This window comes from Homo sapiens, chromosome 5, assembly GCF_000001405.40.
Source record: "Homo sapiens chromosome 5, GRCh38.p14 Primary Assembly".
Lineage (NCBI taxonomy): Eukaryota > Metazoa > Chordata > Mammalia > Primates > Hominidae > Homo > Homo sapiens.
The window spans coordinates 173143385-173165683 of NC_000005.10; the positions used below are offsets into that span (position 1 = coordinate 173143385).

The window sequence follows — 22299 nt, forward strand, 5'->3', positions numbered from 1 at the left end:
TGACCAATATGGTGAACCCCGTGTCTATGAAAAATACAAAAATTAGCTGGGCATGGTGGCACGCACCTGTAATCCCAGCTACTCAGGAGGCTGAGGCAGGAGAATTGCTTGAACCTGGGAGGTAGAGTTTGCAGTGAGCCAAGATTGTGCCATTGCACTCCAGCCTGGGCAACAGAGCGAGACTCCGCCACAAAAAAAAAAAAAAAAAAAGAGAGAGAGATGAACATTCAAGTCCTAAGCCTTTAGGTCCTCACAATCTATGCTTGCTGAAGTGACCCGAACAAATGCAGATGGAGTGGGGTCGAGTGGGGGAAACGCTTTCTAGGGAGAGGGAACACCACATTCTAAGGCTACACATCCAGAAGGAGCTTGAGCAATCCAGGAAGGGCGCAGGGTGCGGTGGCTGATGGCCGGGGTGGCTGATGGCCTTGAGGACCAGCTAAGAAACTTGGATTATTTACTAACAAAAATAAAAGAGCCACCATTTGTTGAGGGTTTGCTCTGACATTTCCATCAAAACTACCTTAGCAAGGTAGATTTAATAAATCCAGTTGTATACAAAAGGGAAACACGAGAAGCCATAGAAGGGCTGCATACAGGTAGGTGACTTGATCAATTTCGTGTTTTACAAAGATCCCTTAGATCATGTGTTGGAGTGATAGGAGGTACTCTACCGACCTGCCTTGAACTCCATACTTTAAAAAATATATGACGTTTATCATTTCCTCTTTTACTCCACAATTTATACTCACTGTAGAAAATATTAAAAATATAAGAAAGTTTGAAGAAACAAAAAATTATTACTGGTACTTTCCAGAGACATCTCAATTGATACTTTTCTTCCAGTCTTTTTTTTTCTATGTAAAAAATATATAGTTATTAGAATGCCTGACAGAAGGAAGATGGAAAGAGACCACTGTGAAGCGTTCTTGATATTCCCTCTTCCCTTCCTCTCCATGTTATTAGGGCCATACCAAGAGGAGAGGCTGATTTCCCTACACGTGTCAGGGAAAGTCCCAACTCTGCGCAGTGACCCTCGCTTGCCATTTTCGCCGGTCTCTAGGGGGCGCTGCCCCGAGACTGGGTGGGGAGGGAAAGAAGGTGGTGCGAAAACGCGTTTGAACTTGGGTCCTGCCGCTGCCCGTAGCCGGCGTCCCCAACATGGCGGCTCCCCAAGACGTCCACGTCCGGATCTGTAACCAAGAGATTGTCAAATTTGACCTGGAGGTGAAGGCGCTTATTCAGGTACTGATCCCGGGACCCCTGCCGGGCTCCAGCAGCCCTAACCCAAGCTCTGCTGGTCTGTGAGCTTGGCAGTGTCACTCCCGAACTTTCCCCACTTGGTTTCCCAGACCACAGGCTCCGCCCCATGGTCGGCTACCCCCCCGGTCCCCATTTGGTTGTGTCCCGGTGACTGCTGGCCTTGATCCTTTTTCCGGGTGCCGCCGGATCTCCCATCCCCAGAGCACCCCACTGTTCTCCGCCCCTGACTCAGCTACTGCTTCGGGGCTCGGCTTTGCCCCTTCCACCTGCAGCCCTGGTCGTCGCCCCGCCCCTGACTACCTCACAACCTACCTGTCACCCTGCTTGGCCCCGCCCTCTGACGCTGCTTCAGCATCCTCTGGTAGCGTCCGGGAGGCAGCTAGCCCCGCCCCCTGCTGGCCAGCTCTCCTGGCATCCAAGGCCACCTGGCACGGGAGGCACCGGGTGAAACGAATGTAACCTGGACCGTAGTTGTGATTTTATGCTTGAGGAAATCGAGTACGGCGCCAAGGCCTAGGTTAGAAGGCATACCTGGGTCAGTGGCAAAACTGGGACCTGGACTGTGAAAGTCAACCTAGGAATAACACCTTAGAGTGTTACCCCGTTTGAACAGATAGGAAATGAAGTGTTTCGCCTTAAGCCATTTAAGGGTAGAGGTAAAATAAACGAGTGGACTTAGGCAAGAATTGGGAGTGTAGACACGGTTCCATGAGTTCAGCAAAAAGAAACCGAGTTTTAAACCTTGTTTTTGCTTGTTTGTTTTTGTTTTTTTGAGACGGAGTCTCGCTCTGTCGCCCAGGCTGGAGTGCAGTGGCGCGATCTCGACTCGCGGCAAGCTCCGCCTCCCGGGTTCCCGCCATTCTCCTGCCTCAGCCTCCTGAGTAGCTGGGACTACAGGCACCCGCCACCACGCCCGGCTAATTTTTGTGTTTTGCTTAGTAGAGACGGGGTTTCACCGTGTTAGCCAGGATGGTCTCGATCTCCTGACCTCGTGATCCGCCCGCCTCGGCCTCCCAAATTGCTGGGATTACAGGCGTGAGCCACCGCGCCCGGCCTAAACCTTGGTTTTTAAAAATAATCATTTTCAACAAAGTCACTAAACATTAGATGTAGACTCAGAGTTTGTAACAAGGTGTGGCAAAAAGTGCAGGAAAATAGGGCTCCCCAGATAAACCAGATGCAGAATAAACCAAATTAGATGCAGAATAAACAAATACGGTGCAAAGAAGTGTGATTAAATGAATAAGCCAGAGAAAAAGTGAAATTTGATGCAGATATTTAAAACTTCTTGAACTTCACTTCTCTGATGTATACATTACAAAACTTCTGGGCCAATTATAGAAAAATAAACAGGTTTCATACAAATGAAATTACATTTTCACATAATCTAAATTGCTTAGGCATTCTTCTGTACTCTTTCTAACATTTGGGTTCTTGTCATTGCTGATGAGAAAGACTGATTATAGCTGGATGTATTGCGTTCTTACCGTTTTCCAGCAGCTCTGCTAAGTGCTTTACATACATACATAATCTATGATGTTCTATGAGGTAAGTAGTGTTGTGATAAGGAAACTCAGACACAGAGAATTTAAATAACTTTCCAGGTAACTTTACACAGCTCATAAGTTGCTACAGCCAGGATTCGAATCCACCTGGTCTGTCTCCAGAGCCTGCCGTGAAAGCTGGCACCAGTAATTCTGAATGTCCAGCAACAGATTCTAAATCTGCCCTTAAACATGTCTATATAAACACTCTAACTTATCACTAATGGTTTGTAAAATCACACTGGAGAAGTTAATCTCATCATATGATGCCAGATATTTAAACATCCTGATCTTCCAAGTTGGAAGGATCTAAGGTTCTAAAGTGATAGTATCACTTTTGCATGTCCATTCTTGTTGGGCATACAAGCTGTTTTAAGCTGTTTCCTACTGGCCAGGTAATGTTTTGTTAAAATTTAGGCACTAAAAATTAGGTCAAAGCAGTTGTGTTTCTTTCTAGGCTTTTATATTAATTCAACATTAATCTAAAAAGGAATGAGAAAAATGTAAATGATAATGTTTTTGCTTGTGTTGCAGAGGTAAACAGCAAAGATCAGGATGAATTATAGTTAGTATGTTAATATTAGTTGGTCTAAACCAACTCTATCACTGTATGGATGGTGTCATTTCATTTCATTGCCTTGAGAAAGGCCTTTCATCTGTTCAATGTCTCCTAGGATATCCGTGATTGTTCAGGACCCTTAAGTGCTCTTACTGAACTGAATACTAAAGTAAAAGAGAAATTTCAACAGTTGCGTCACAGAATACAGGTGGGTATTCTCAATTCAGTCAATGAAGGGGGCTCTGTCCTGGGTATATCCTCTGCTTGAGAGCCGTCTGGGTTCTTCAAACACCAGCTGATGGGAGCAGTAAACACTTAGACAGGGAGGGTGACTCTGTACTAACCTGCTCTCCAGGTAAAAACGAGAAACTTTTGGCCGGGCACGGTGGCTCACGCCTGTAATCCCAGCACTTTGGGAGGCCGAGGCGGGGAGATCACGAGGTCAGGAGATCGAGATCATCCTGGCTAACACGGTGAAGCCCGTCTCTACTAAAAATACAAAAAATTAGTCGGGCATGGTGGCAGGTGCCTGTAGTCCCAGCTACTCAGGAGGCTGAGGCAGGAGAATGGCGTGAACCCAGGAGGCGGAGCTTGCAGTGAGCCGAGATCGAGCCACTGCACTCCAGCCTGGGCGACAGAGCGAGACTCTGTCTCAAAAAAAAAAACAAGAAACTTTTGCATGCAGAACACTGCCAGCTGTGTGAACGAGTGAATGGCAGGAACACCATTATCCTTGGAATTTTTGAAATCCTGGGGCCACTTCAAATACTTTCTCTTCTCTGCCATTCTTTCTACCCTATTCATTCATTCACTACCTCAATCCATCACACTCCTGGGTTTTTTTTTATGCTGTTACTTTGCTCAGCATCTTCCTTATTTCAATAGTCACCAGTCACATCATATACACATTTAGTATGCCTGAATTCAAGTATGGTATATGTGCTGTCTCAAAAAACACTAGAGGGTGACAAGTAGCAGTTATGTTTGTTTGTTTTATTTATTTCACATTTTATTCTTATTACATTGGGCTGGGCAAAGAGTTGTGCACCACTGTATAGATCATGTTATTCTGTTGCTTTCATTTTTAAAAATGAAAATGAGGCCAGTAGTTTGAGAACAGCCTGGCCAACATGGCAAAACCCTGTCTCTGATAAATGCAAAAATTAGCTGGGCATGGTGGCACACACCTGTAATCTCAGCTACTTAGGAGGCTGAGGCAGGAGAATCGCTTGAACCCAGGAGGTGCAGGTTGCAGTGAGCAGAGATCGTGCCACTGCACTCTAGCCTTGGTGACAGAGCAAGACTCTGTGTCAAAAAAAAAAAAAAAAAAAAAATATATATATATATATATATATATATATATATATATATATATATATATATATATTTTAATAGAGATGGATTTTTTGCTCTATGTTGCTTGAGCTGGTCTTAAACTCCTGGGCTCAAGCAATCCTCCTGCCTCAGCCTCTGAAAGTGCTGGGGTTACAGGCATGAGCCCAGACTATTGTGTTGCTTTCAGACAGAATTGGGATTCAGCTTCTAATTGTTTCCAAGTTCAGAATCTAGATCAGAATCAGAGGATGAAGACCACTTGTGGGTCTGGGGGCTGCTGAGAGGAAACACGTATGGAGCTGACTATGGAGGGGTCATGTTTCAAGGCTGCCATCTGGGCATCCAAGGATCCTGCATGCAGCTCATGGGTAGAGGGGCCCACAGCAGCCCCTCAAAGTGAATAGGGATGGCACAGGCCCAGGGCTGGAACTCAGGAGTTGGAAGGATGACTGCATCTGCACACTTAAAAAGATGCTGTCCATCTGTATCCTGGAATCCTGTGTAGGCCCTCTCCCTGAGGACAGGAACAGGGTTGGCTCCTTGGCCTCTGTTTAGCCTCATGAGTAGTTCAGTAAAAGTCCTGCAAACTTGTCATTATCTGGAGACATTCCTGCCGGCTCCTCTTCATGCCCCTCTACTTGAAGCACTAGGCAGTTGCTTTATATTGTTCATGATTCTTCTTCAGTTATTCAAATTTGAGATAATTGCATTCTTTTAGGGAACTCTGGATCTCCTGGTCACTCCAAGGGTTGATTACTGTTCTGATGGTTTTTCTGGTTTCTTGGTTTCTTCTTCCTTCTTTATTTCCTGAGGGTTTCTAGTAATTTCAGTCTGATGTCTTACGTTCTCCATTTTTATTCCTGAGTTTTCTCCTGGAATTCTTCTCACTGCAGCCACAGGACCTAATGTTGGGTTGGCAGAGAACTAGCACTTACTCTGCCCTAGTGGGACCTAGGAGAGTCAGGAGGTACCTGAGTGTGGAAACATGCCTGCTCCTCTAGACTTCTGGAGGTCTCTTAGAAGTAGCAGTTTGAATAGTGGAGATGTTTCCCCTGCTGTACCTTCAGTGAGGGTGAGGTGGGTGTCATGGATCTGCCCATCTGTATTAGTCTGTTTTCATGCAGCTGATAAAGACATACGTGAGACTGGGAAGAAAAAGAAGTTTAATGGACTTCTGACATGGCTGGGGAGGCCTCACAATCATGGCAGAAGGCAAAGAGGAGCAAGTCACGTCTTATATGGATGGCAGCAGGCAAAGAGAGAGCTTGTGCAGGGAAACTCCTGTTTTTAAAACCATCAGATCTCATGAGACTCATTCACTATCATGAGAAAAGTGCAGGAAAGACCCACCTCTGTAATTCAATCATCTCCCACCAGGTACCTCCCATGACATATTGTGAGAGTTACAATTCAAGATGAGATTTGGGTGGGGACACAGCCAAACCATATCACCATCCCTGGATGGGTCTTGTGGCACCTGGTCTTGTGGTATTGGGGTTTTGTATTAGGCCTTTCTTGCATTGCTGTAAAGAAATACCTGAGGCTGGGTAATTTATTTAAAAAAATGGGTTTAATTGGCTTAAGGTTCTGCAGGCTGTATGGGAAGCATAGCAGTATCTGCTTCTGGGGAGGCTTCAGGAAGCTTCCAGTCATGGCAGAAGGCAAAGGGAGCAGGCATGTCACATGACAAAAGCAGGAGCAAGAGAGAGATTGAGTGAGAGCTCACTTACCACTAAGGGGATGACTTATGCCATTCATTAGGGATCCACCCCCATGATCCAAACACCTCCCACCAGGCCCCACCTCCAACACTGGGGATTACCATTCAACATGAGATTTGGGCAGGGACAAATATTCAGACTATATCAGGTCTAAAGACTTGAGCTTTTTTGGCCAGCACAGTGGCTCACGCCTGTAATCCCAGCACTTTGGGAGGCCAAGGCGAGTGGATCGCCTGAGGCCAGGAGTTCAAGACCAGCCTAGTCAACATGGTCAACCTCCATCTCTACTAAAAGTATAAAAATTAGCTGGGTATGGTGACCCGTGCCTGTAATCCCAGCTGTTTGGGTGGCTGAGGCATGAGAATTGCTTGAACCTGGGAGTTGGAGGTTGCATTGAGCCAAGATTGTGCCACTGCACTCCAGCCTGGGTGACGGAGCAAGACCCTGTCTCAAAAAAAAAAAAAAAAAAGACTTGTGCTTTTCATATAACATGGCCCCCAAAGCCCACCAGCAACTCTGTTGTTGCTTAACAGAGGAAGACAGTCTGTTCTAAAGCTGGTAGAAAAGCTGGCCAGTTGGACCCCTGAGAAACAGTATGTCTGTGTCCTGTGTTTGCCTACCTCAGAGATTTTCAAGGGCAATTTTGAAAATGTGTAATTTTTGCTATTGGAGTTAACTATATGATTTTCAGCAGCGTCACCATACCTAGCTGATCTCTTCCTGCCTTCATCTCCAGTACTGATTTAATCATCTTAATTTTTTATTTTTGAAAAGATGTTCCTTTTACATGTTTTATGTATGTGTCTGTCTATAAGTATCAACATTCAGTGAAAAGTCTCAGTTATGCCCCAGTTTTGTTTTTTGTTCCACTCTTCCAAACAGGTAACCACTTTTGTTACTGATATGTCATTCCAGAGTTTCTCTACTCAAATATTTAAAAAGACAAATTTCTTTTTTTTTAAAATTTCTTCCTTGTTTCTCATCTAAAAAGTAGCATACTAACACACAGCTTTTAAAAACTTTATACTTTTGTTTTTTTGTTTTTTTTTAAGACGGAGTCTGGCTCTGTTTCCCAGGCTGGAGTGCAGGTGTGATCTCTGCTCACTGCAACCTCCACCTCCTGGGTTCAAGCGATTCTCCTGCCTCAGCCTCCCAAGTAGCTGGGATTACAGGTGTGTGCCACCACACACAGCTAATTTTTCGTATTTTTAGTACAGACGGAGTTTCACCGTGTTAGCCAGGCTGGTCTCGATCTCCTGACTTTGTGATCAGCCTGCCTCAGCCTCCCAAAGTGCTGGGATTACAGGCGTGAGCCACCGCGCCCGGTCAAAACTTATACTGTTAAGTATAATTTTATTATACGTATATTGGAAATTTTTCCATTTCAGTAATCAGAGACTGTCCTCATTTTTCTTTTTTTTTCTTTTTTTGAGACAGGGTCTTGGGCTGTCACCCAGGCCAGAGTGCAGTGGCACAATCTCAGCTCACCACAGCCTTGATTTCCCAGGCTCAAGCGATTTTCCTCCTGCCTCAGTCCCCCAAATAGTTGGGACTACAGGCGTGCGCCACCACACCCAGCAAATTTTTGTAGTTTTTATAGAGACAGGGTTTTGCCATGTTGCTCAGGCTGGACTTGAACTCCTGGACTCAAGTGATTGCCTGCCTCAGCCTTCCAAAGTGTTGGGATTACAGGCAGGAGCCACCACACCTGGTCTCTCATTCTTTTCTAAATAACTGTCATTTTTTTTTTTTTTTTTAGCCAGTTCTCTATCAAAGGGCATTTATTTGGACTGCTTCCACATTTTTTTTTAAGCTAACTTATTCCCTGACAGACTTTTCTTCAACTCAGCATGACTTCAACTCTCCAACTACACCTGTTACCTTCAGTGTGAGTATTTGTATGTTCTTTTTAAACATCTGGGTGCCCACCCAGTGTTTATTTCCTTCACTCATTAAAATGACCTCACCAATACGTGTACATTTACATATTTATTATGGCACCTAGGAAGGACCTAATAAGCACATGGCCAGTAAATGAATAACCCCATCCCAGTTTTAATCTGCGTTTCTTAAGTATTTACATACTCTTTTTGTATCTGGAAATAAATACAAGATTCCTGTTTGTTTGCCATTTTTAGCTTTTATTTGAATGTCTTTTTTGTGTATTTCCAACAAGATCATGTGATACTAGAGAACTGGCCTCATATCCTCAAAACTGGGTGTTCTGCACATGGTGAATCTTGGGCACTGACTGTGTATAAATATCTGTGTGTTTGTCTTTGTACATATAGCTCTCAAACTGGAATTTGAGGACTGCTCTCCCCCGCCATTCCTTTCTCCAGAACTATCACTGGTTCTCTTTGAAAGAACTTCCAGGCAATCTTTCATGAGTAAATTGTACATTTCTCCCCCTTTTTAATCCCTCCGCTTTTCCCATGCGTTCATTCTTCCATTCAGTGACTCAGTGCCCAGTATGTGCCAGGCACAAGGAATATATGTAGTGAATAATGTGAGATACAGCTCTGCTTATTCATAGAATTTACATTCTTTTTTTTTTTTTTGAGACGGAGTCTCACTCTGTTGCCCAGGCTGGAGTGCAGTGGCACGATCTCGGCTCACTGCAATCTCCACTTCCCGGGTTCACGCCATTCTCCTGCCTCAGCCTCCCGAGTACCTGGGATTACAGGCGCCCGCCACCACGCCTGGCTAATTTTTTGTATTTTTAGTGGAGACGGGGTTTCACCGTGTTAGCCAGGATGGTCTTGATCTCCTGACCTCGTAATCTGCCTGCCCTGGCCTCCCAAGGTGCTGGAATTATAGGCGTGAACCACCAGGCCCAGCCCATAGAATTTACATTCTAATAGGGAATACAGATTTTAAACAAATAATTATGAAAATAATTGATGACATTTGCAAAACTTTTCTAATTCACAGTTGATTATTTCTTTTATTCTCTACCTCAGCAATATTTGGAGGCATAAATTGAAAGTCATCTCTGTGCTATTGAAATGGTGGATACACAAACTTGTTCCAAACCAGTATGTGCAAATTGATACGTAAATCAGTAAATTAGTATATAAATGAGCAAATACATTGATGTTTCAGATCAATAGCGTGATTGAAGCTAGAACCTGTTTTAATTTGTAAACCAAAAAATGTGATTGGTATAATGCTATCTTTAATTATAGTCCCTCTTGATGGTTCTTTTATCTGAAGTTCTTGGGGTTTAATACTTCTGGGTATGTCTGCTGACCCTAACTTATAGTGGGTTATTTCCTTGGTGTTAGGTTATTTTGGACTGTGAGCGCTCATCTTAGCAGACCTTATCTGAGGGACTTTGTGCAGCTGGGTCGAGGCCAAGTCTCTACAGAGGTTTTTGCATTAGCTTCCCGCCAGGTCTCCTGAGATGATCACAAGTCTGACAACATTTTTTTTTTTTTTGAGACAGTCTCTCTCTGTCGCCCAGGCTGGAGTGCAGTGGCGCAGTCTTGGCTTGCTGCAAGCTCTGCCTCCCGGGTTCACGCCATTCTCCTGCCTCAGCCTCCTGAGTAGCTGGGACTACAGGTGCCCGCCACCACGCCCGGCTAATTTTTTGTATTTTCAGTTGAGATGGGGTTTCACCATGTTAGCCAGGATGGTCTCGATCTCCTGACCTCGTGATCTCCCCGCCTCGGCCTCCCAAAGTGCTGGGATTACAGGCGTGAGCCACTGCGCCCGGCCGAGAACACTGTTTATGTTCATTTCTCTTCATGGAGTTTCACGAACCACTCAGGGAAGATAAATTGAACCCTAGATCAGTGGAAGGAGCAGCTCCCTGGTTGGTTATAAATTCTCAGGGGAGTTTTTTTTTAACCCCTCTATTTGGAACTCATAGCAAAAAAAGGCAAGCATCTATGTTTTCCCTCTGTGCTGGTAGATGGACATTTTTTTATACCATTTTCCTGTGTCTGTAACCTTTCGTGGGTTTTAGATTTGTGGTGATCTCAGTTCAGCTTCTCAACCTCAGCCTCAGATGGCTCAGGGCTTCATTTTTCTGTCCCTGCACGAGCTCTCAAACCTTCAAGCGCTCAAACTGCCTATTACTCGTCTTTAATTAAATAGGCACAGAAATTGTGAGTATCTGGAAATGAACAGCAGTTTGATATTTTAATGATATCTAAGTGGGGGATCAGTGTGCTTGTATTTCGTCATTGTTTTTCTTTTCCTTTCGGGCCTGCCCTAGGTGACAGGAGCAGCAGCTCTGACGCCAGGACAGCCGTGCATCACTCCCAGGCTGACTATTCCAGCTCTTGTTCCCTTCCCACTTTTGGGCCATAGGGGTTTTCCTTACTTCCTTGTGGACTTAGCTATAGATTTAAAAGGATGTGTGTTATATGTTACCTAGCATTCCTAGGTGTTCTGTTTTAAAAGGGTGCTTCAAGTGCTATTGTATGCCCTTGGCAGAAATAGAAATGCTCTTCTGCTTTCATGTTGACTTTTGAAATCATTTTAACATGGAATTATTTTTCCTCAAAGGACCTGGAGCAGTTGGCTAAAGAGCAAGACAAAGAATCAGAGAAACAACTTCTACTCCAGGAAGTGGAGAATCACAAAAAGCAGATGCTCAGGTAGGCAGGGCCTGCCCCCGCCAGCGGCTTCTGCTGGCTCTTCTTGTTGCCTGTGAGCCTTGCACGTGTGTTTGCCTGATGGATCTGCTTTAATGCTGACTTAATGGTGTCTTTTTTTTTTTTTTGAGAGACGGTGTCTCGCTCTATTGCCCAGGCTGGAGTGCAGTGGCCTGATCTTGGCTCACTGTGACCTCTGCCTCCCGAGTTCAAGCAATTCTTCTGCCTCAGCCTCCTGAGTAGCTGGGATTACAGGCGCCCACCATCACGCCTGGCTAATTTTTGTATTTTTACTAGAGACAGAGTTTCGCTGTGTTGGCCAGGCTGGTCTCTAACACTGGCCTCATGTGATTCACCCACCTTGGCTTCCCAAAGTGCTGGGATTACAGGTGTGAGCAACCACGCCCAGCCAATTGCATCAGTTACACACTGGTGGAATGTTCTCTCTCAGTCAGCAATAGTCAAGTGGGGGCGAGTGGGGAAGGGATAAATAGGGCCTATCTGAGCAGGTGGAGCTGAACATAGTTTACAAAAGCATATTTAACATTATACTGTATTGTATATTTTTAATCAAAAAATATGATTGCTTTTGTAATACAGGGTCATTTTTTATCTAAGGATAATTGGTACCAGAAAAAATCTACAGAAAGAAAACCTGCTGAAGGTGGACCAAAATTTAGAAGGTTTTGAGTGGGATGCTGTCTAAAAATAAAATAAAATAAAATGCAAGAAAAACCGTAAATTAAACAAAATTGAGGTCAAAAATTAAAACCAAAATCGAGGTTGTAATTGCAGGTGTGTGCTAATCCTTGATTATATAGTTACAGTTATATGCCATTTCTTGTTATTGAATTGGGAGAGGTTTAACTTTTCCAATGAAATTGTCAGACAACATGAAACAGTATCTTTCCCTTCACATTTGACTTTTGTACCAATCATAAAGAGGGTTTTTCCAAACATATTTGAGGTATTCAGATCATTCTCTCTCTTTTTTAAAAATACATTTTTGGCCCAGTGCGGCGGCTCACGCCTGGAATCCCAGCGCTTTGGGAGGCCGAGGTGGGCAGATCATGAGGTCAGGAGTTCGAGACCAGCTTGACCAACATGGTGAAACCCCTCTCTACTAAAAATACAAAAATTAGCCGGGTGTGGTGGCACACACCTGTAATCCCAGCTACTCGGGAGGCTGAGGCAGGAGAATCGCTTGAGCCCGGGAGGCAGAGGTTGCAGTGAGCCGAGATTGCTGCACTCCAGCCTGGGTGACAGAGTGAGACTCCACCTTAAAAACAAAAAAAAAATATTTTTATTTTTAAAAAATTAAAAAATTTTGGAAATGAGGTCCTTCTCTGTTGCCCAGTCTGGAGTACAGTCATAGCTTACTGCAGCCTCAGGAACTCCTGGGCTCAAGCGATCCTCTCACCTCAGCTTCCCAAGTAGTTGGGACTACAGCACACTCCACCGTGCCTGGCTAAATCATTCTCTTTTGAAACCCCTGCTAAGTTGTCATTCCCATGGGTTTTCTCTTTGTCTCTTGTTCACTGGTCTGCCTCTGCCAGATCTGTATTTGTGGCTTTGCTTCTGATTTGAGCAATTTGCCAGCATCATCTTCCCTGCAAGCAGCTGTGTATGTAACAGTCAGCTGTCAGGAAGACACCGACTGGCAAAAACACAGGCACAGGGAGGCCAGTGTAAGCAGGGAGGGCTGTATGAGTGGTGGGCAGTGATCCAGGGCTTGGCTATTTCACGAATACTTTATGTTATGATGGCTTTTGCTTTCCTGAGCCACCAAGCCTACTCAGATTATAAACACTGAGTACAGAGGAGCCCTTGTATAAAGTATGGTAAGTTATGCCAGACACACTCAGCTTAGCATGGGTTTAAAGCTGGGAATGGCCATCCACAATGTAGCATTACAGGCCAGAGCAGAGAAAGCTGTCAATTTATACTTTGGGGCTATGTGCAGTAGCTCACACCTATAATCCCAGCACTTCGGGGGCCGAGGCAGGAGGACTGCTTGAGCCCAGGAGTTTAAGACCATCCTGGGCAACAAAGCAAAACCTCATCTATTAAAAAAAAAAAAAATTAGCTGGGGGCATGCTGATGTGTGCCTGTAGTCTCAACTACTTGGGAGGCCAAGGCAGGAGGGCAGTGGGCTCGGGAGGTCAAGGCTGCAGTGAGCCGTGATCATGTGACTGCACCTGGCCTAGGAGACAGAACGAGACCCTGCCTCTTTTCTTTTGTTTTTTTTTTTTTTTGAGACAGAGTCTCACTCTGTCACCCAGGCTGGAGTGCAGTGGCGCAATCTCGGCTCACTGCAAGCTCCACCTCCCGGGTTCACGCCATTCTCCTGCCTCAGCCTCTCCGAGTAGCTGGGACTACAGGCACCCGCCACCACGCCTGGCTCATTTTTTATATTTTTAGTAGAGATGGGGTTTCTCCGTGTTAGCCAGGACGGTCTCGATCACCTGACCCTCATGATCCGCCGGTCTCAGCCTCCCAAAGTGCTGGGATTACAGGCGTGAGGCACCGTGCCCAGCCGACCCTGTCTCAAAAAAAAAACAAAAAAAACAAAAAAAACCAACTTTGGCAGTTGAAGCAGTAGTTGTGCTTGCTTGGGTCATCATGCTTGTCACACCATACAGTGAGTATCTGTTTGCTTGTCTTTTTCCCAAATGAATGTGAGGTGGTTGAGGAGAAGTACTGCCCCTCATTCATCTCTGGATCCCAGGGTCCTGCAGAACCCCCTTGCAAACTGTTTCAAAATGTAATGGATTCTTTAAAGTGGCAGGTGTGAAATGGCGGAGCAGGTGCTCATTAAGACCTTCAGCATAAAGGTGCTATTAGAAAACCACCCTGTCAGTTCATGTACTCTGTGTTTTGATTTTTGAGTATTTCCAGAGATTAGCACAATTGGTTTGAGCTGGCTACATAAGAGTTCTGAAGTATGAGTTTGATTCTTAGAGAGACGCAGTTAGCTTTTTTATAGTCTATCAACAACTGTCAACATTTCTTTTTTTTTTTGAGACGGAGTCTTACTCTCATTGCCCAGGCTGGAGTGCAGTGGCGTGATCTTGGCTCACTGCAACCTCTGCCTCCTAGATTCAAGTGATTTTCCTGCCTCAGACTCCCGAGTAGCTGGGATTACAGGCACTCGCCATCATGTCCAGCTAATTTTTGTATTTTTAGTAGAGACAGGGTTTTAACATGTTGGCCAGGCTGGTCTCGAACTCCTGACCTCAAGTGACCCACCCGCCTCGGCCTCTCAAAGTGTTGGGATTACAGATGTGAGCCACCACGCCCGGTCAACTGTCACATTTCTAACTCCAGGAAGCTGTTCACCAACTTTCCGTTATCACCCACAAGTTAGCGCAGGTGAAGACTGTAGATCCGCCGTGTCAGTCAGGGCTCTGCTAATCCATCATGTTTGTGTCATTCATGATTGGTCTGTAGTATGGAAAGAACAACAAACCTTGAAGAAATATTTTGAAAGATTGGCTTTTTGTGTGTGTGTGTGTGTTTTTTTTTTTTTTTCTTGAGAGAAGGTCTTACTCTGTCACCCAGGCTGGAGTATAGTGGTACTATCACGGCTCACTGCAACCTCCACTTCCCAGGCTCAGGTGATCTTCGCTCCTCCGCCTCCTGGGTAGCTGGAACCACAGGCATGCGCCACCACCATGCCTGGCTAATTTTTTGTATTTTTAGTAGAGACGGGGTTTCTCCATGTTGCCCAGGCTGGTCTTGAACTCCTGGGCTCAAGTGATCCCCCCACCTCGGCCTCCTAAAGTGCTATGATTACAGGTGTGAACCACTGTGCCTGGCCACGATTTTTTATTTCCTACAAAGTATATTAACTCAGCAGCTGAAGGGCCAGAAATGGTTGTTCAAGATACTGGAGATGAGTAAGTCATGGTTCTCCGGGGATGGTACCAATTAATACACAGGCCATAGCAGTACAGCCTTAGAGGCAACTGGACTGAAGAGGGGCCTTGTGTGACCAGCTGGGAAGTTTGGATGCCTCCCTGAAGTCCAGCCATTGTGGAGCTGTGCACAGAGGAGTGCCATGTTCACAGCCCCTTGGGCTGACGGGGGCAGAGTGACAGCAACAGAGCCTCCCCGTGGCGACCTCCAGGGTCCGGTCAAGGGGTATCAGGACCTGAGCAAGAACAGTTGCTGGGGAACCAGGAGGCGGAAGTGGCAGGAGGTGGGATGGGCTCTGAAGGCCGTGCCTGGTGGCCTTCTCCCGTGTGCCTTTGTTGGGGGGAAGTGCTGTGAATTGAACTGACTTATGGCTTGGTGGAGTGGACACACTCACACGTGAACCTTCCAATTCCAGCAATCAGGCCTCATGGAGGAAAGCTAATCTCACCTGCAAAATTGCAATCGACAATCTAGAGAAAGCAGAACTTCTTCAGGGAGGAGATCTCTTAAGGCAAAGGTACCTATTCTTTTATTTTTCTGGGCTCCGATAATAATAGATAACAATTGGCAAGGTGTAGGAAACCCCCTCTTGTTTTCAGCTTGGTGCTTAATTTAATTACATAAGTAATTTTTTTAAGTTTGAAAAAAATGCATACTTATTTGTAGTAAATTGGTAAAATAAAGTATGAATTACAAAATTAAAATATTGAATTTTTTTTTTTTTCTGAGATGAAGTCTCACTCTTGTAGCCCAGGCTGGAGTGCAGTGGTGCCCTCTTGGCTCACCGCAACCTCCGCCTCCTGGGTTCAAGTGATTCTCCTGCCTCAGCCTCCAAAGTATCTGGGATTACAGTTGCGTGCCACTGCACCCAGCTAATTTTTTGTATTTTTAGTAGAGACGGGGTTTAACCACGTTGGCCAGGCTGGTCTTGAACTCCTGACTTCTGGTGATCCACCCACCCCAGCCTCCCAAAGTGCTAGGATTATAGGCGTGAGCCACCATGCCCGGCCGAAAATATCAAATCTTATTACTCATGAACATTTTGGTATATTCTCTCCCTCATTTTTATTTCTACATTTCTTACAAAGTCAAAATTGTACCATACATAAAATTTCATATTCTGCTGTTTCAGCACAAAAGTTGTTCATTAAAAAAAAAAAAAAAGCTTTTTAAGCCTAATTCTAACAGTACATAGTATGTAGATTGTATGTTAATACAATTCCCTGTGTGTGTTTGCATTTCTAGTGTTTAAGTAGTGTAAGTAATACACCAGGGCATGTCTTAGAACATAAGGCTTTATCCACATTTTGGATGTTTCCTTTGGAGGGATTTCCAGGGATGAGATGATTGAGTCAAAGGAATGAACATTACCAAGGCTCTTCAATTGGCAAATTGCTTTACAGAAGGCAGCACTGGTTTATGTTCCTACTAGCAGTCCACAGGGGCGTGGGTCTCAGCACACCCTTTCCAGCATTGAATGTGATCATTTAAAATATGTATACTAATTGGATAGGTAAAACATGAGATCTCATTTGGATGTGGGGCCTTCTTGCAGGGAGGCTTTTGTTGACATTCCTCCCCTTTCTCTTCCTCTGAACTTTTAGGAAAACCACCAAAGAGAGCCTGGCCCAGACATCCAGTACCATCACTGAGAGCCTCATGGGGATCAGCAGGATGATGGCCCAGCAGGTCCAGCAGAGCGAGGAGGCCATGCAGTCTCTAGGTAAAGCTGGGCCTGGAGTAGGAAGCTTCTCCCAGAGACGCTGCTCTAGGGCCCTTGCCCTGGCACCTCCACTCTGGGCTCCTCCACCACAGCCCACACGATGTTCACTGACTTGGGTGGCTTCTCCCTCATGAGATGACTTGACACCATGGTCTTATCCAGTGTGGGATGTGCTGCTCCTATTTCTCTTTTTTTTTTTTGAGATGGAGTTTCGCTCTTGTTGCCCAGGTTGGAGTGCAATGGTGCGATCTCAGCTCACCGCAACCTCTGCCTCCTGGTTTCAAGCGATTCTCCTGCCTTAGCCTCCCAAGTAGCTGGGATTACCGGCCTGCACCACCACACCCGGCTAATTTTGTATTTTTAGTAGAGACGGGGTTTCTCCATGTTGGTCAGGCTGGTCTTGAACTCCCAACCTCAGGTGATCCGCCTGCCTCAGCCTCCCAAAGTGCTGGGATTATAGGCGTGAGATGCCACGCCCGGCCCGTATTTCTGTTTACTAGAAGACCCCACACCCCCATCGATGTTTCCTCAGGGGGAGCATTCCCATGTGTTCATGTGAAAGGCAGAGGTCCCAGCCCCTCTCCTAGAGAGGGTGTCGGCAGGGCTGGGTGAGGGGCCTGGAGTCTGATTTTCAGTGAGGGCTCTGGGGACCCATATGGCCAGGCAAGTTTGGGAATGGTTGCTCCAAGAGATGTTTGGCGAATCAGCTGCTGGTAGGACTGCTAGGACCTCAGTTTACAATTATACTCCCCAACGTTATTTTTCCTATGAGTTCCTTTTAAAAGATGTGAATCAGAGGCTACAGGAGAGACTGCTTGAGACCATCTGGTTTCCTCCAATAGTTTTCCCAGAGTGTCTCCTCTGTGATGGAGAAGAGTATCAGCCCTCTCCAGGGTCCTTCAGTATAAGACAACAGAAAAAGGGCGTTTACTCCTTGAAACGCTTTTGGAAAATTGCACACGTGGACAAAAGGAGAAAGCATGGTATCCTGAATCCCCTGAGCCCTGAGTCCATTACCCCAGCCAGTCTCGTTTCAGTTCTACCCTCAGCCCATCCCCCATCTGGATTATTTTGAAGCAAATCCCAGACATCATCCATAAATATCTCAGTACATCTCTCTAAAAGATAAGGGACTCTTTGGGGAAAAAGCAGAAGCAACCCCATAACTACAATACCATGATCACCCCTAGAAATTATAATTTTGGACCACTGTTTTTTCAGTGCACCAAATAGGCAGAAGCAAAAGGAAAGCAAGCAGGTGACCCCAAGGTCACTCCTTGAGTTTGCAGCTTACCTGAACATCTGGGCTCGGAACCAGCCAGGGGCTTCCTCTCAGCGTGTGCTGTGGGAGAGGCCTTGGAGAGAGAGGGAGCAAGGCGACAACTTGGCCTCTGAGCCCAGGGCTTTTATGCTCTGGTGTGGCGACAGCATACCCCCCGCTAACAGTGGGAAGGAAACACAAATGCTGGTGGCTTCTGGGGTGTTGAGAGGGTCCCGGTGTTCTTGGGGCCCATTTTGTACAAGCGATAACTATTGAAGAAAAGAGAAGAATACAGTTCTTAACCCTTTCCTTATGCCTCACAAATTCAGCTTGATTTAAAAGCCTACTAGGACCATAATTTTAAAACAAAAAGCTTATTAGGAATATGGTGTCTGGAATTTGCTCCACAATTGCAGGAGTAGTTGCAGTTGGGGGGAGGGGGAGCAGGATTTCAGAGGTTGGTGGTTCTTGGTTATGGGTGGTGGACACATGGCATTTCATGATATTATGCTGTCTGCTCTGTGATGGTTCAAAATTCTCCGTAATAATAAAGTTTAAAAAGAAAGGCCTATTAGATTTTTACTTAGCAAGATCTCAGGGTTTTGAAATCGCAGCAGGCAGGCGTGGAGAAAGCAGGCGGAGAGGGATTCCTGTTCTGTGAGTGTTTGTTTTTCTCCTTTTATCTGTCATTTTCAAAACGCTGCTGTGTTTCCTCTGATAATTTATCCTATTTACTTATTAGCTTTTAATTTTTAAAAAGGTAACACATACAGCATAGAGAAGGATAAGAAAACTCTAGCCCAGGACTGCCATAGAAACGCAACAGCAGCCACGTATGTAACTTTAAATTTTCCAGTAGGCACATGTTAAAAAGTAAAAAGAAACATAAGAAATTAATTTTAGTAAGATGTTTATTTAACCCATTATGTAAAATATTATAATTTCAATGTAAAACTAATATTAAAAACTATTGAGATATTTTACATTCCTTTTTCTTAGATTAAGTCTTTGAAACATCGTGTGGATTTTGGCCAGGCGCGGTGGCTCATGCCGGTAATCCCAGCACTTTGGGAGGCCAAGGCGGGCAGATCACTTGAGGTCAGGAGTTCGAGACCAGCCTGACCAACATGTTGAAACCCTGTCTCTACTAAAAATACAAAAAGAAAATTAGCTGGGCGTGGTGGTGCATGCCTGTAGTCCCAGCTACTGGGGAGGCTGAGGCAGGAGAATCATTTGAACCTGGGAGGTGGAGGTTGTGATGAGCCAAGATCACGCCACTGCACTCCAGCCTGGGTGACAGAGTGAGACTGCATCTCAAAAAAAAAAAGAAAAGAAACATTGTGTGGGTTTGACACTTACATCTCCTGACATCTCCATTTGCATTAGCCACGTTTTTCTATGCACAGCAGCCTCGCATGTCTAGGGGCTGCCATATTGGTCAGCACAGCTCTGGAGAGTACAAAAGGGACACAAAAAAGATCACTCTCTGTTCTGACCTCCAGCTGACCCCTACCTGCCAGCCCTCTGGTCCACTTCCCAGAGGCAACCTCTGTAACCAGTGTCTTAAAAAATATCTTGTGATCCTCCAAGCTTTTGTAACTTAAGCAAATGAAATACCATTTATCTCCCTGTTTCTTACCTAAATGGAAACATTTCACAGGCGTTCCTTTATACTTTCCCTTTTCACTTAATGTGTTCTATTCAATGGCTGTTCTGATGATGCCTTGCTATGTTTTGTGGGAGAACCTCGCCAGGTACACCTTCTACCCTCAGCGTCAGGCCCAGATACCCATATTCAGAAATACATCTGACTCTGGGGACAGTGATTCCTTAAGGGACGTGGGCCTCTTCTTAGGTGTCACCTCCTTAAAGCTACAGCCAGTATCCCTGGCCTGAGGGACTGGTATGTGTGAGGGCTTACGGCAGAGCCCGGGACACCCTTGCCCTTTTGAGATCCTGCAAAGTGCCGGTCTGGCCAGCAGATGTCCTGGAGGCCGCACCTCATAGGTGGAAGGTTCTGGTGCATTTGGCTGCTGCCCCAACACAGACCTCACAGTGCCTGCCCACGATCCCTGGGTTGATTTTGTGGCTGGTGGTTTCCCTGAGCAGCGTCCATCTGCTTCAGAGAGCTGAGGAGGTGGCTGGGTGAGCAAGCCTCTTCTGCCCTTCTCCCTGGTGACGCTCATGTTCAAGGACTCCCAGACAAACCCCCCCTCACTCTCTGGAGCTGATGGGACCTGGGGAGGAGCCTTTCCTTGTCAGCTCCTTGGCTGGTCTCCACATGCTTTGATTCCAGCTCAGAGGAACTCACTTGAGAATGCTGGTTTTTATCAGCACCCCAGCCAGCAGAGTGAGGTCTTTGGATCTTGAGCTGCAGTCTCTGAGTTGGGCCTCCTTCCTCTTTTGTTTCAGTCACTTCTTCACGAACGATCCTGGATGCAAATGAAGAATTTAAGTCCATGTCGGGCACCATCCAGCTGGGCCGGAAGCTTATCACAAAATACAATCGCCGGGAGCTGACGGACAAGCTTCTCATCTTCCTTGCGCTAGCCCTGTTTCTTGCTACGGTCCTCTATATTGTGAAAAAGCGGCTCTTTCCATTTTTGTGAGATCCCAAAGGTGCCAGTTCTGGCCCTTTCAGCTCCTGTTTCAGGATCTGTCCTGGTTCCTGAGCTCTAGGCTGCTAAGCTGAGCCACACACCCCTCCGTTTGCACCAGTTGCCTGCAGGTTGGATGGAACACAGTGCCCCACTTTTCTGCAAGTAGCTGGCTTGTAAAGGGTGAACAGAGCCATGGGAGGAAGGTCTGGCATTGGGATGCCGCCCTGGGGACATACGAACCGCCTCCTTCCACCATTGTGCACTATGGGAGGCCGCTGCTGCGTGGAGCACTTAAAGTCCAGCCTCCAGGACCGGATGCCCCTCCTGTCTCCCGCTCCCATCGTGCCCTTAAATGCCAGATCTGGTGGAGGGAAGAGAGAAGAGGTAGGAAGAAAGGTGATGAAAACTCCTGGTCATTCCTTGAATAAACTTGATTTTATTTAATAGAATAAAATGTATTTGATTTTGTAAGATAGCCCTCTGGGAATGTGTGTTCCTCTTTTCTTTTTTCTTTTTTTTTGAGATGGAGACTTGCTCTATCATCCAGGCAGGAGTGCAATGGCGCAATCTTGGCTCACTGCAGCCTCTGCCTCCTGGGTTCAAAAGATTCTCTTGCCTCAGCCTCCCAAGTAGCTAGGATTACAGGCACACACCACCATACCCAGCTAATTTTTGTATTTTTTTAGTAGAGATGGGGTTTCTCCATGTTGGCCAGGCTGCTGTCGAACACCTGACCTCAGGTGATCCACCCATCTTGGCCTCCCAAAGTGCTGGGATTACAGGTGTGAGCCACCATGCCCAGCCCTCTTTTCTTGATGTCCAGATTTTTAGGACATGAACCTAGATTATTTATTTATTCATTCATTCAACAACGAATTAGCATTGTTATTTTCTTTCTGTCCCCACCCAACAACAAGGAACTATTAAACAGCTGCCACACACAGGGTGTTATAGACGCTGCTGAACATGACAAATACATTGGTGAACCAGACATGGTTCCTCCCTCAAGGAGGAACAGAAGGAGACACGGAAATAAAATCTCACAGACTATCAGGAAGGAGGGTCCAACAGCCCCTGTTCAACCAGGTGTGGTGGCTGATACCTCTAATCCCAGCATTTTGGGAGGCTGAGGCAGGATGATCACTTGAGCCCAGGAGTTCAAGACCAGCTAGACAACATAGCAAGACCCTGTCTGTATTTAAAAAAAAAAAACAAAAAAACAGAAACAGAACAGAAAACAGCCCTTGTTGGAAGTGGCTCACACCAACATCTGAAAAGGCTGCAATGCCATTCTCTACCACAGCAGCCTGGCCAGGCCTGGGGGTGTGCAGTGATTCGGGCTGGCACATGCCTTTCTCTCTGATGTCCAGAGCTAAGTATAACCAAGGAGGGAGAAGCTAGTGAGAAGCTGAGACTGTGTGAGCCTGAGTTCTGTCCAGGCCAGAGGGAGAGGGCCCAGGCTAGGCCAGTCCTAGAGGTGCTGTGTCTTTTGTGCTGCAGGCCTGGCTGACCTCAAGCTTGAAATCCCAGCCTCCCCCACTATTTATAGCCCCAGAGGACCTGGGAAGGGCAGTGTGGAGGCTGAAGGGAAAGTGGGAAGAACATGGACTTTGATCCTTGGCTCAAACACTTGGTTTTGAGATTTGGCTCCACTGCTAATGGACCACAGGACCATTGGCAAGTTACTTTATGTTGCTAAGCCTCAGTTTTCCTATCTGTAAAATGGAGGTGATAATCCATATGGGTCCTCATAGAGTCAACTTGAGAATCC

The 22299-nt window shown here is 45.9% G+C and overlaps 1 protein-coding gene across 8 annotated transcripts, besides 3 other annotated features; it reads left to right on the forward strand.

Annotated features, from left to right (window-relative positions):
* The first annotated feature begins 1146 nt into the window (after nucleotides 1–1146).
* BNIP1 (BCL2 interacting protein 1) lies at nucleotides 1147–21003 on the forward strand. 8 transcript variants are annotated; one of them, XM_011534638.2, is made up of 8 exons: nucleotides 1147–1245; nucleotides 3482–3574; nucleotides 8182–8310; nucleotides 10938–11029; nucleotides 15360–15461; nucleotides 16549–16667; nucleotides 18689–18761; nucleotides 20341–21003. In XM_011534638.2, exons 1-8 carry the CDS (start codon nucleotides 1162–1164, stop codon nucleotides 20372–20374), a joined length of 726 nt encoding a protein of 241 aa, XP_011532940.1. In that variant the 5' UTR covers nucleotides 1147–1161; the 3' UTR covers nucleotides 20375–21003. The 8 variants fall into 8 exon arrangements, with proteins under 8 accessions (XP_011532940.1, XP_011532941.1, NP_053582.2 ...); XM_011534639.2 differs by lacking the exon at nucleotides 20341–21003 and adding an exon at nucleotides 18928–18955; NM_013979.3 differs by lacking the exon at nucleotides 18689–18761.
* Nucleotides 1340–1868: an enhancer, noted in NCBI's record as "H3K27ac hESC enhancer chr5:172571727-172572255 (GRCh37/hg19 assembly coordinates)". NCBI's record gives its function as "activates a minimal SCP1, AML or CMV promoter by ChIP-STARR-seq in naive H9 embryonic stem cells {active_cell/tissue: H9 hESC(naive)}" and the evidence as "EXISTENCE:reporter gene assay evidence [ECO:0000049][PMID:30033119]".
* Nucleotides 1340–1879: a biological region, named in NCBI's record as "H3K27ac hESC enhancer GRCh37_chr5:172571727-172572255".
* Nucleotides 1810–1879: an enhancer, noted in NCBI's record as "active region_23651". NCBI's record gives its function as "activates an Ori minimal core promoter by ATAC-STARR-seq in GM12878 lymphoblastoid cells {active_cell/tissue: GM12878}" and the evidence as "EXISTENCE:reporter gene assay evidence [ECO:0000049][PMID:35858748]".
* Nucleotides 21004–22299: the final 1296 nt, after the last annotated feature.

Coding starts and splice junctions, on each gene's coding strand:
- BNIP1 (NM_013979.3), top strand. CDS start 1,162: ATGGCGGCTCCCCAAGACGTCCACGTCCGGATCTGTAACCAAGAGATT. Junction 3,575..8,181: donor AGTTGCGTCACAGAATACAG/GTGGGTATTCTC, acceptor TTTTTTTTTTAG/CCAGTTCTCTATCAAAGGGC. Junction 8,311..10,937: donor CTACACCTGTTACCTTCAGT/GTGAGTATTTGT, acceptor TTTTCCTCAAAG/GACCTGGAGCAGTTGGCTAA.